Raw genomic sequence first — 13,156 nt, 5'->3', positions numbered from 1 at the left:
CTAGGCATTGTGAGGGAGATAAAGGTGGAGAAGACAAAAATAAGACACCTTGTACAGATGTAAAGCTTGTATCTACAAAAGGGTGCCCAGCCAAGGGGGGCAAATAGGGGCTGAAATGTTGCTCATGCTCTGACAAGCTTTTTGCTGTAACAAAAAGCTGTCACCAAGTGGGGTGAAGGAACACCTTTTTCTAATTCGTGTAATGGTGCTTGGAAGGCTAGCTAGTGGTGGCTTTGGACACAAATGCCACAAATCTTTCAATAATACAAATCTGACCACAACAGTGATCACATTTTTCAATGGTTTTCCATTGCTGAAAGGAGAAAAGCAAGTTCGGATGATATTCAAGTTCCTTCATATTTAAGTCTGACCTACTTTTTCTGCTTCATCCCCTACTACTTCTACATGAAGACTCTTTCTGCCAATCATATTCAAACTTTAACTGATTTTAGACCACACCATGTTCTTTCATTCATCTCTGCCTTTCCATCTGCCCATCAAAACTCAGAAAAAAATTCTTCTGGGTATCATCTATCTCATTTAATCCCAGGTAGTGTGAGTTACTCCTCCTCCTTTCTCCTATAGCATTCTGCACATCAGTAGATCATGCCACATAAATACATTATATAAAACTTCGTTGTTTATACTTTTCATTCTAAATTGCAAACATTATTCACAATACCTAGGAAATAAAAGAAATTAATTGATAAAAACAAGGTTCCTAACTTTAGGTAGCTTATACTTTTTTGGAGAAGATGAAAACAAGGTAGGTAAAGACAATTACTGTAAGAGAAAAAGGTATAAAAATGGTACAGATGTTTCATAACTGCTGTTTAGTTTGCTAAGTCACTATTCACAGGAATTGACAAACTTTTATCAAATATTCAGAGACGTCAAAGGGAACTATGAAAGTTTCAAAGAACGTTGTGTTGACACAGAGGCATTAGGAGATCGTGGAGTCCTTCAAGTGGAACTGAGAGACCTGGTTTCTGGTCCCAGGTTTGTCACTTATTTGCTGTGGGATCTCAGACAAGCCAATTTCTTTTGCTTGACTTTAGTTCTTTCGCTACAGCACTGCTCTCATAGAGTTAGGGTACTCAAATAGATAATGTATATGAAAATATGATTAAAACTAGAAAGTGCCACTTCAGCAAATGTTAAAACTGACATTTTTGGTTGGTAAAATGACTTAGAATCAATACATAAATGTACCACCCATCTAATATTAATGCCCACCGAGTGTGTGTGAGACAGCTGTTTTGCCAGACTTTAAGAAGTACAAGAACTGATCTCTGCCCTAGAGAATCTGTGTTTGGGGAGATGAGGCAGCTGCTCATATTAAAATATCTACAGAGGCCAGACACAGTGGCTCAGGCCTGTAATCCCAACACTTTAGGAGGCTGAGATAGGAGGATTGCTTGAGGCCAGGAGTTTAAGACCAGGCTGGGCAACATGACAATGTCTACAAATTTTTTTAAAAAAATTAGCTGGGCACAGTGGCATGCACCTCTATTCTGAGCTACTCAGGAGGCTTGGGCAGGAGGACCACTTGAGCCCAGGAGTTCAAAGTTGCAGTAAGGTATGATCATGACACTGCACTCCAGCCTGGGCAATAGAATGAGACCCTGTCTCTAAAAAAATAAAATAACTACAAAATATGGTAACAGCTAAACAAGGAAAACAAAAATAAGTGTAAAAGAGTACAAAAGAATAGGCTATTTATTGGTGGGGTGGTCATTATGGTTTAATGACAAAGTAGTTATTTCAGTAGGTCGTGTAAGGAAAGAATATAGTTGTCCCTTGGTATCCAAGGGCAATTGGTTCCAGGAGCCCCTTAGATACCAAAATCCAAGGATGCTGAAGTCCCTTATATAAAATGGCATAGTATTTGCATATAACCTGTGCACATCCTCTTGTATACATCATCTCTAGATTACTTATGACAACTGACATAATGTAAATGCTATATAGTTGTCATGCTATATTTTCAAATTTGTACTTTTTGTTGTTGTATTGTTATTTTTTGTTGCTTTTTTCTGATATTTTCTATTCCCAGTTGGTTGAATTTGCAGATGGAACTTGCAGATACAGAGCACTGAGTATTTTGAAATTCTGGGGCACAGATACAGAATTTTAGTGTAAAGACACAAGGAAGAATAGAGAGATAGCAAAGAAGATCTCAAATATAGTAGACTACTTGGTGATAGCAGCATGTTTTCATAGGGCAGTTTCTGATTAGGCAGGAAAAGTAGGTTGCAGACAGTCCATAGCAGCAGTCCCCAACATTTTTGGGACCAGGGACTGGTTTTGTGGAAGACAATTTTTCCACAAATGGGGTGGGGGGATGGTTTCGGAATGAAACTGTTCTCAGGCGTTAGATTCTCATAGGGAGCACACAACCTAGATCCCTCGCACGCATAGTTCACAATAGGGTTCGTGCTCCTATGAGAGTCTAATGCCACTGCTGATCTAACAGGAGGCAGAACTCAGGCAGTAATGCTCACTTGTCTGCCACTCACTCATGCTATGCAGTACTGGTGCTGGTCCGTGGCCAGGAGGTTGGGGACCCCTGGTCTGTAGGAGAGTGCTAAGTACTGTGCTGCTCTGCTTCACTTTGGAGACAAGTACACTGCTGCTAGCTGCTTTCTAACAATAATAAGTAGAGCGCTTAAGACCAGGTCAAATGGTCCTTCCTTAGAATCCTTATTCCTATCTCACATGTGTTGTTTGACTGGTCAGATGAACAATCTATGCCAGATTCTAATACAATGACTGATATTTTAGTTTGGGGAATACTATCACAAGAGATTTCACATAAGAAGAGTACAGACATTTTAAGTGGCTATAATTGCTCCTTCTGTTTTCACTGTGTGGGAGAAAAAGAGATGTCAGAAAAAACGTTAATCAGTGAGACAGAAAAGTAATTTAAGGCTCTCCTTTTATTAGCTATAATAGCTCAAGCATAGTGAATAGGACCCTTCTTGAATTAATGAGGCAAACTAGAAGGTGATTTTTTAAATGTCAAGCTGGCATGAAGATCTTGTGCTATTATTAGACCCAGGAAGGCATAGACTACAAAACAGAATTCAGGGCATGACAGATCATTTAAAAATAAAACAAACAGACTAAGTTTACATGAAGTTAAAGCTTTTTGAAAACTCAGTGTGAAATGTATTTAACTCTAATGAATTGCTTTAAAAAGATCTTCTAGAGCTACATTCATAAGATTGCAATAAAAAAACCACTATAGTAAGCAAATTTTTACATTTTAAAGAAAAGAAGGTGTTTTTTTTGCTCCTGACTGCCACATCATGAGTTGCATGCCTGCTCCCAGGAAGGGCCTGTCCCAATCGGCTCCTCCCTGTCACTGCAGTGTCCCCACTTGGCTGAAGCTGGCCTCTGAAGATGTAAGGGAGGAGATTTACAAACTGGCCAAGAAGGGCCTGACTCCCTCACAAATTGGTGATCCCAAGGGATTCACTGAAAGGAGGATAATATCCAAATTCAAATAAAAATTCAACCCCAATTTTACAGATATCAGTCTTTGGCCTATGTCAGCAAATTCTGATACACAGAAGAAATTATGCATCTTACTCATCACCTGTGTTCCCAAGCATAGGGCATATGGGGTAATGAGCCCAGTTATTGCTTTTTTTTGTAAATATATTTGTGACAGTTGATTTTCTGTTACAGATAAAACTCTTCCAAAAGTAACCAGGATAATTTGATAAAAGATAAATGAATAAATGAGGTGGAATTGCTACAAATAACTTAAAAAACAAAAATCAGAGCAAAAGAAAACAATAGTGATAACCAAAAAGACTTACTTCCTCCTGAGAGAAATTCCCTTCTGCTTTTAAATGGCACATGTTTTTTCATTAACTGACAGCTACAGTCAAGAAGCCAGGACAATGAGGGCCATAGCCACAGGGACAATGAGTGGCAGGTGGCAGAGATGGCTAAAAGACGCAACCTGCTTCAGTCTCCCCTCAGAGGCTGCTCCCTAACGGCTGTATTCCCCTTCCAGCTGGTGACAGACTTCCTCTTGAGAGCCTCCTGAGGCTTACAAAAGTGTTTCAATTCTCTGTATACCCTCTCCACGAAGGAAAAATGGAGTAACTTTGACCAGAAGGAGCTATTTCAAACACTGAGCTGGTCTAAGCTTTCATAGAACAATGCTGATTGGGCAAAATAAATAACCAAGTGAAAAGAAAATAATTTTTTAAAGTAACCTCTTCTCATCCCTGCCATTAAAAGTACCAGTGGTGGGCACAGAGGCTCATGCCTGTAATCCCAGCACTTTGGGAGGCCAAGGTGGGCGGATCACCTGAGGTCAGGAGTTCAAGACCAGCCTGGCCAATGTGGTGAAACCCTGTCTCTAATAAAAATACAAAAATTAGCTGGGCGTGGTGGTGGGTGCCTGTAATCCCAGCGACTTGGGAGGCTGAGGCAGGAGAATTGCTTGAACCCGGGAGGCGGAGGTTGCAGTGAGCCAAGATCGTGCCACTGCACTCCAGCCTGGGATACAAGGGCGAAACTCTGTCTCAAAAAAAAAAAAAAAAAAAAAAAAAGTACCAGTATCATTTCCATCTTAATCATCCTCTACAACTTTTTCACTAAAAATAAAAAATGCTCACTACACTTCAACATTTTGTTTCTAAAAAACAATTAGAGTGCCAGGAAATTCCTCGTCTCTGGCTTTCCTGCCCAAATTCTTGTTCATATAGCTAATAGTATACACTTAAATAAAATTAATTTTATATAATCTTGAATATAATATACTATTCTCTTGTGAGGACAATAAATTGATAGTAGTTTCATTTTTATACCCAAAGTGGCCAAAGAGACACTCCAACTCTGAGAAAATGGCTGTGTCTACAGCAGGGAGTTAGAGGGCTCCTCTTGTAACAAATGAGAACTGAAGTCTATTTTTCCTAAATCTAATTTAAAAATCTTTTTTCCCCACAGTTTATCAAGTGCTTGTTAAACACACACCATGTAGAAGGTTCTGTGTGAAGACAGAGAAACAGAGAGAGAGAAATGAAACCTTTTATCTTAAGCATTACTTAACGTCTCCTAAATCTCCTGTTTATTAACTTTAAGACTTTTAAAGAAATAATAATTTTCCTAAAACAACTGTGTGAACTGCCTACCTATTCAGACCAAAACAAAACAAAACAAAAACCCTCAACAGGGAACAAACCTGCCTCATCTAAATTAGAAACCACAGAACTACTAAGATGTAGCTGTTAGCAAAATTTCTATGAAGTTGTAATAATATACTAATTATAAATAGGACCACAATGGGATGCCCTCCCCAATCCAAGCATTATGGAACACAACAATATAATTTGAGGAAAGATAGAATTTTCTGCTACTTTTCCTGTGACGATTTTCAGAAGATCTCATATAAAAATTAATCATAAATGTGCTTACATGTTAGATTAAATAAGAAGTGCACTACATAAGAATTAGCAAGCCAGTACAATAATTGCTGGCACCAAATGAGGTTTTTTTCCTTTTAGCCAGATAGAATCTCACTGGGTTTTATTTTTGTTTTGCACTTCGATGTTACTACCATGAATTACTTCAAAGTGAGAAAGGCATATTTATATCTTGCTAACTGCTCTTCTAGTTTACTCGGCTCAAGTGAGAGATTTATGGTTTCTTCGTCTTCCTCTTGCTGTTTCCTGCAAATTGCCATATCATCATACAAGATGCCAGCCCTCGTCTCAAATCAAAAACTGAATTCTAGAAATGTTGGAGCAGTCAGTTAACCATAACTGTATGTTCATTTTAACTTTATGGATGGTCATAAAGATCACTGTTTCAGAGGAGTTAAAGGTGAGCGCACTTCAACTGCTTCTCAAGCTACTTTCCACATGGCTTTTTATTCCAGTGGACTTGAAAAATATAAAGGAGGAAAATCAAATACAAATACTCCTCAACTTATGATGGGGCTATGTCCTGGTAAACCCATCATCAGTTGAATATGTCTAAGTCAAAAATGCATATATGTTTTTGACTTACGATATTTTCAACTTGTTATTTTCAACTTAAGATGGATTTATCCAGATGTAGCTGTATTGTAAGTTGAGGAGTGTACTGAGTGTGTACCACTTTTGCACCATTGTAAAGCCCCAAAATCTTAAGTCAAACTGTCATAAGTTGGGGACTGTCTATATCTATATCTATGGTTCTTGGGGCAAAACAATGAATAGATCTGGGATTTATTTTGGTTGTTGTTATTAGCTATGACTGCATGATACACTAAGTTCAGTTCCAAATAGACTCTCGGAGTACCACTAATGATCTGTCATATGGTAATCTCTTCGGTGTTTACATAAGACGAATGAAAACAATAGCAAGCAAAACAGAATGTGGAGTCCTAGCCTACTGAGTAATTCAGAATAAAAATAATCTGTAACCTTGTACTTAAAAAAATATTAATCTCCCATTAAAAGTCTACATCATTGGTGTGACAGATGCTATTTCTGTGTCGAGGTACATAGTTGGTCCTTTCCTTAAGAAATGCAGCTAGAAAAGTTGCAGAATTATTTCATGGAATTTTATTTGGTAAATAAAAATAGCATAAGTAAAGAGTTGGTAAGGAGAGAAAAAATGTTAATCTGCCATACATAAAAGTCATTTTCATATTTTCACAGAGGTCTTGCTGTTCTTGTCAAGAGTTTATCTTCAGAGGTAAGGGCAGATGGTCCCTTTTACTGTGAGAGAATGTTTAATACAAAATTAGACTGAGATAACTTGCCAAAATGACAAAAAGATGATAATGATACAATCTGTTTGCTTTGCCCTTTATACTCATGATATCCTAATTTTATTTCTATGCTCTCCATGAGGAAACAGGAGGGAAGGTAGTAGTATCATTTCCATTTGATGGGTAAAGAACGCAAAGTTAGAGAAGTGTGTGATTGGTTAGAAACTGCTGTATTAAGAAGCCCAGTGGAAGAATCTACTTCTAGTCTAGTGTTCTTCTCACTATATTATGCTATTCCTCTGAAGACTACATTTTGAGAAATAATAGGAGCAAGTAAAAAACAATTGTGATATAATAGAAGCCACGTAAAGTGCAATTTAACTTAGTGACTATGTCATGTACTGCACTTCCTGTTTCAAGATTTCTTAGTATGGTCATTTAAAACACCTCAGGGCAAGCAATTTATTTTGCTTAATGACCCTGAGCCACCGCTTTCCTCCCACTAAGGTATTTTGAAGGGAACTATCTTACCTCTGCTCCTGAGTATGCGTCGGTTTGAAGGATGAGTTCATCCAGGTCAACTTCATTACTGACAGGCATGGAGTGAAACTGCAGCTTAAATATTTCCCTTCTTGTTGCTGCATCCGGTAAAGGCACATAGATGATTCTATCAATTCTTCCAGGCCGCATCAAAGCCTATAAAGAAAATGAGGCAACATGAATTAACTGGGCTCAGAACTGACATTCCATCTCAAAGATACCTAGGGAAAGATGTCTGGAATTTCACGAACAATCCACTATTATTCGTAATTGGTAAATAAAACAAGTACCAGAGATTCCATAATCTATGTCACCGATACAAACAATGTCAAGAGTACTTTTGAAAATAGAAGGCTGGGCGCGGTGGCTCACGCCTGTAATCCCAGCACTTTGGGATGCTGAGGTGGGTGGAGCAGGAGGTCTCTGTCTCAAAAAAAAAAAAAAAAAAAAAAAATAGAAAAGCAGTACTTATGGGAGGTTTGCCCTTCTCAGCAATTATCAGGTGAATAAAAGATGACTATTCTCTTTTCAAAAATGTGCAAATAATTTGCACTCATTATATCAAAAGGAATTTTTTTTGTAACTTCCTTAAATAACTACTAAAATATGGTTTAAGGACAGGTATGGTGGCTCACGCCTATAATCCCAGCACTTGGTGTTTTTTTTTTTTTCTTTTTGAGACAGAGTCTCACTCTGCCACCCAGGCTGGAGTGCAGTGGCGCAGTCTCAGCTCACTGCAAGATTCTCCTGCCTCAGCCTCCCTAGTGGCTGGGACTACAGGCACATGCCACCACACCTGGCTAATTTTTAGTAGAGACGGGGTTTCACCATGTTGGCCAGGCTTGTCTCGAACTCCTGACCTCAGGCGTTCGATCTGCCTGCCTTGGTCTCCCAGAGTGCTGGGATTACAGGCGTGAGCCACGGTGCCCGGCCAATCCCAGCACTTTGGAAGGGCAAGGAGGGCAGACTGCTTGAGTCCAGGAGTTCGAGACCAGCCTGGGCAACATGACAAAACGACATCTCTACAAAAAAATACAAAAATTAGCTGGGCACGGTGGTGCATGCCTGTAGTCCCAGCCACTCAGGAGGCTAAGGTGAGAGGATCACTTGAGCCCAGGAGGCGGAGGTTGCAGTAAACCAAGATAGCACTACTGCACTCCAGTCTGGGTGACAGAATAAGACTCCATTTAAAAAAAAAAATCTGTAGCCATATATATATATCTGTATCTATATCTGAGTTAAGCTGTTAGCTGTTTCAGAGATCCCTCAAAATAGCAGAGTTCTAATAAAAGAATAGTTCTAGAGCTGAATGCAGTCAAATGAGCCTTCTTAATATTTTACTAGAGGCTAATGCCTACATTATTTTACAACTAATGGATTCACTTATTCAGAAAAATTTGGTGAGCATGTATTACATCCCAGACATTGCTCTTGGTAATAGGAGAAAGCATGAATAAGATGTGTACAATTGACTATGGTGATGGTTATACATATGTGTGAATATACTAAAAATCAATGAATTAAATATTTCAAATAGTGAATTTTATGGTATGTGAATTATCTCAAAGTGGTTAAAAAGAGGTATGTGTCTAAATCTCTCTCTGTGTGTATCTACAGAGGCAATGTGGCAACTTTTAGCAACTTCTAAAAAGAACAAATTGGAAAAATTTACACTACTTGACTTCAAAACTTATAATGCTAAAGAAACAAGATAGTGTGAGAGTATCTAGAGGATAAAGATACGGATAAATAAAATAGAAAAAGGAAGTCCATACTGATTTTAAGGCACTCAAAAAGGAAATTATCTTAAGAAATGGTACTGTGAATACTAGAAATCCATATGAAAAAAATGAACATTGACCCTTACCTCACACCATACTGAAAAATAAACTTGAAATGTATGAGCTAAAACTACAAAACTTCTAGAAGTATAAAAGAAAAACATGGACAAACTGGTCTTTACAAAAATCAAAACAAAATTTCTCTTCAAAAGGTACCTTTAAGAAAACGAAAAGACAGGTCACAGACTGGGATAAAATATTCACAATATGCATATTTGCAAAGGGCTTGTATCCAAAATATATAAAGAATCCTCATAATTCAATAATAAGAAAATAACCCAAAGTAACTGGACTAAAAATTTGAACATACTTGCTAACCACACAGCTTCCTTTGTGAGGTAAGTATGTGAAAAGATACTTAACATCATTAGTTATCAGATCAATGCAAATTTAAGCCACAATGAGATACCATTACATTATAAGAATGATGAAAATTAAAGACACTAACAATACCAAAGACCGATCAAGGACATGGAGCAACTAGAAATTACATACACTGTTAATGGGAATATAAAATAGAACAACCACTTTGGAAAGCTATTTGTCAGCTTCTTAAGAAGTTAAACCCACCACATCATAACAACCCAATTATTGTGAAATAATCTAGGTAGTTACCTAAGAAGAAAAAACCCATATCTACACAAAGACTTGTATATGGAAGTTCACAAATTTTATTTTTTTGAGACAGAGTCTCACTCTGTCACCCAGGCTAGAGTGCAGTGATGTGATCTTGGCTCACTGCAATCTCCACCTCCTGCACTCAAGTGATACTCTCTTCTCAGCCTCCCAGGTAGCTGGGACCACAGGTATGCACCACCATGCCCAGCTATTTTTTTTTTTTTTTTGAGGTGGAGTTTCGCTCTTGTTGCCCAGGCTGGAAGTGCAGTGGTGCAGTCTTTGCTCACTGCAACCTCTGCCTCCTGGGTTCGAGCAATTCTCCTGCCTCAGCCTCCCAAGTAGCTGGGATTACAGGCGCCCACCACCACGCCTGGCTAATTTTTTGTATTTTTAGTAGAGATGGGGTTTTGCCATACTGGCCAGGCTGGTCTTGAACTCCAGACCTCAGGTGATCTGCCTGCCACGGCCTCCCAAAGTGCTGGGATTACAGGCTTGAGCCACCGTGCCCAGCCCCAGCTATTTCTTTTGTATTTTCAGTAAAGATGGGGTCTTGCCATGCTGCCCAGGCTGGTCTCAAACACCCATGTCCAAGTGATCCACCCACCTTGGCCTCCCAAAGTGCTGAGATTACAGGTGTGAGTCACTGTGCCCAGCCCACAGTAGCTTTATTCACAATAGTAAAATTGTAAACAACCCAAATGTCTACCAACTTATGAGTGAATAGTCAAAATATATAATGGAATACTACTCAACAATAGAAAGGAAATACTGAACACTCAACAATGTGCATGAGTCTCATCATGCTGAGTCAAATAGAACAGACATAAGAGAGTACATACTGCATTTATATAAAATATTTACAAAGTCCAATCTAATCTATAGTAGCAAAAAGCAGACTAGTGGTTGACTGCAACCTGAGGAAGAGGGAAAAATGGACTGCAAAAGGGCAAAAGCAATCTTTTGAGGGTGATGGGGATGTTCTGCACCTTAATTGCAGAGGTGGTTTCACAGGTTTACACAAGTCTAAATTAATTGACTTGTACATATAAGTTGATACAATTATTGTGTGTAAACTGAAACTAAATAAAAGGGATTAATAAAGAGTAGTAACTTGCATTTGTTAGACTCCCAGTATTTATAAATCAGTAAATTTAAAGAGGAATAAAGATATTTTAAAATTTTCTCTATCTGGAAAGATTATCTTCTTTGACTAAGCAGTTTGGAAAAAATCACGTAAGAAGTCATGTAAGAGAAAGAATACTTATTTAACAAGCTGTGACAGATCAATTTCTATGATTTAGCCATGAATTTGGTGACATATATTACAACCATTTCACAATCTCATAGTTAATTTGTTTTATTTTTGTTTGTTTTGTTTTGTTTTAATGTACTTCACCATGTTCATACTTAGAGTTCCAAACAGACTGTTCAAATCCATGGGGTCATATCATCATATCTCATACCAGTGCTTTATAAAATACTCGAGTGAATGTTAACAAATGTAATGGAAAAAAGGGTTTTCTTGTTAAATAAATTTGGATAACACTGTGTAGAAACAAAATAAAAGGTTTGTATAGGTTTCTATATGAAGGAATTTTTGGAAATTATATTAATGGGTAATAAAAATATCTAGGAGAAACCTATGGTAGTATGTAAAAATTCTATTTTAAATTCCCAAACTCTAATCATGGAACATCTCAAAAACTAATATTTCTTTTCCACTTTGGAAAATGCTGTTGTATACTTTTTGTATATGTTATAATACCTAGAAGAGGGTGATTGTCTATCAAATATATATCAATCAATCCTTAACTTACGTACAAATTAGCTGGCAAAAATTCAATTAGGAAAATCATAAAATAAATATATTTCCCTTGCTTAAAAATGAGTGTTTTAATTCTTTGCAGACAATTCTGTACACCTTAAAATGTATTTTATCAAAGAATTCAAAACTCCATTTCAATCATGGAAATCACTTCTTTCTACCTAAAACAAATACAGGACTTAGGAAATAAAGATGATTTCAGTAAATACATATTTAAAAAATTGAAAATGTTATCTAAGACAAATAACATTAATATTTATATAGCACTTAAGGATCTATGAAGCATCTTTCACATACTGTAGCTCATTTAATATTCCCCCAAATTTTGGGAATTAGATATTATTATATCCTTATTAAGACAAAGAAAATGAGGCCCAAGGTCGTACAATAACTTACAGAAACTGCGCTGAAATCTGGGGTTTCTAAATGTTGAAGCAGTCCTTTTTAATTTTACTATTTTGACACTACATGATACTCATTATTGATGAACAAACAAAATTCTCTTTCTGAAATATAACTAACAAACTTCAACAATTCTCTCATCAAAAAAATTATTAAGCATCTACTATATGCCAGATTGATTTACTTGCTGGGGATACAGCCTTGGAGAGCTTGGTTATTTTTTTAAAGTTGAAGTTGTCCTTTTCACCCTATTGGAATAATAAATTCTAGGCTATTTTAAAATTTCCTTTCTAATAGTTGAAAGAACACAGCAAAGGATATACAGCATACATGTCAGCTAAGTCACTGGAACACTCAGCATACATCTGTGTGTGCTTATTTATTTATTTTTTTTAGCTGTAGCTATCCTCAGGCAGTGCAGGTTGAGTATACTTCAATGATTATTATAACATTGTCTGGGCCAACAGCCAGCTAGGCTTTTTCTGGCCTGGTCTTGTCAGTGAAAGTTATGCTTAAAAAATAGTAGGAAAGAGCCTTCCTTCCTGTAGAACTCTGAATGAGTAAACACCCTTCCTAGAATTTCTTTAAAAATACTGTTTTGGGATATTAGGGTGGAAGAATGTATTCTGAATAATAGCATGTTCTATTATTATTAAAATCACTATATGACAACTCAATGAAAAAAGAAGCCAAGGCTTTCTAATATTCTGAACCCTATGGCTCCAAGGCCATGTTGGATATCGTGGTCTGTCCATTAAAACTTTATTAAAAAACACAAATCATAGAACAAACTCCCTTTCTGAGAAGTTATTCAAGACCTTGGGCAAGTCTCTACATCTGTAACAGCCTCAGTTTCCTCATGTGTGAAAATGAAGGCGGCTCTTTAATTACAGGTGCCTATGTGCATTTGACAGAAATTCCCCTCAAACTATACATACAAAAAATACTCCCAATTTTGCAAATAATTCCAGGGAGTTCACCTGAACTCTGCTTGTGTGCTCCAGACTAAAAATTATCGTATTGGATGACCTTTTAAATGGGCCTTCCAGCCCCCAGTTCTAGGACCCCCTGCCATTCTTATATAACAAAATATCCACAGCTTACACTGCATAGTCATTACTGTAAACATGTTAGTTTATTATGAAACCAATATCCTTCTTTTCTTCTGACCTTTATATCAAGGACTCAAAACATCTGGTATTTCACATGAAG

At 37.3% G+C, this 13,156-nt stretch overlaps 1 protein-coding gene across 8 annotated transcripts in view; it reads right to left on the bottom strand.

The window, feature by feature from the left end:
- Nucleotides 1–13,156, bottom strand: part of AFG2A (AAA ATPase AFG2A) — a 396,356-nt gene that overhangs the window by 56,004 nt on the left and 327,196 nt on the right. For 5 of the 8 annotated variants that reach the window (NM_001438322.1, NM_145207.3, NM_001437913.1 and 2 more), the window contains one exon: nucleotides 7,250–7,414. In NM_001438322.1, coding sequence (NP_001425251.1) covers nucleotides 7,250–7,414 — 165 coding nt within the window. Of the gene's footprint in view, nucleotides 1–6,554; nucleotides 6,726–7,249; nucleotides 7,415–13,156 lie in introns of those variants that run through there. The other 3 variants (XM_047449690.1, XM_047449691.1, XM_047449696.1) reach the window with 2 other exon arrangements.

This window comes from Homo sapiens, chromosome 4 (assembly GCF_000001405.40).
Source record: "Homo sapiens chromosome 4, GRCh38.p14 Primary Assembly".
Lineage (NCBI taxonomy): Eukaryota > Metazoa > Chordata > Mammalia > Primates > Hominidae > Homo > Homo sapiens.
The sequence above is the reverse complement of the archived record's forward strand: the minus strand, read 5'-3'. Positions and strand labels throughout refer to the sequence as shown.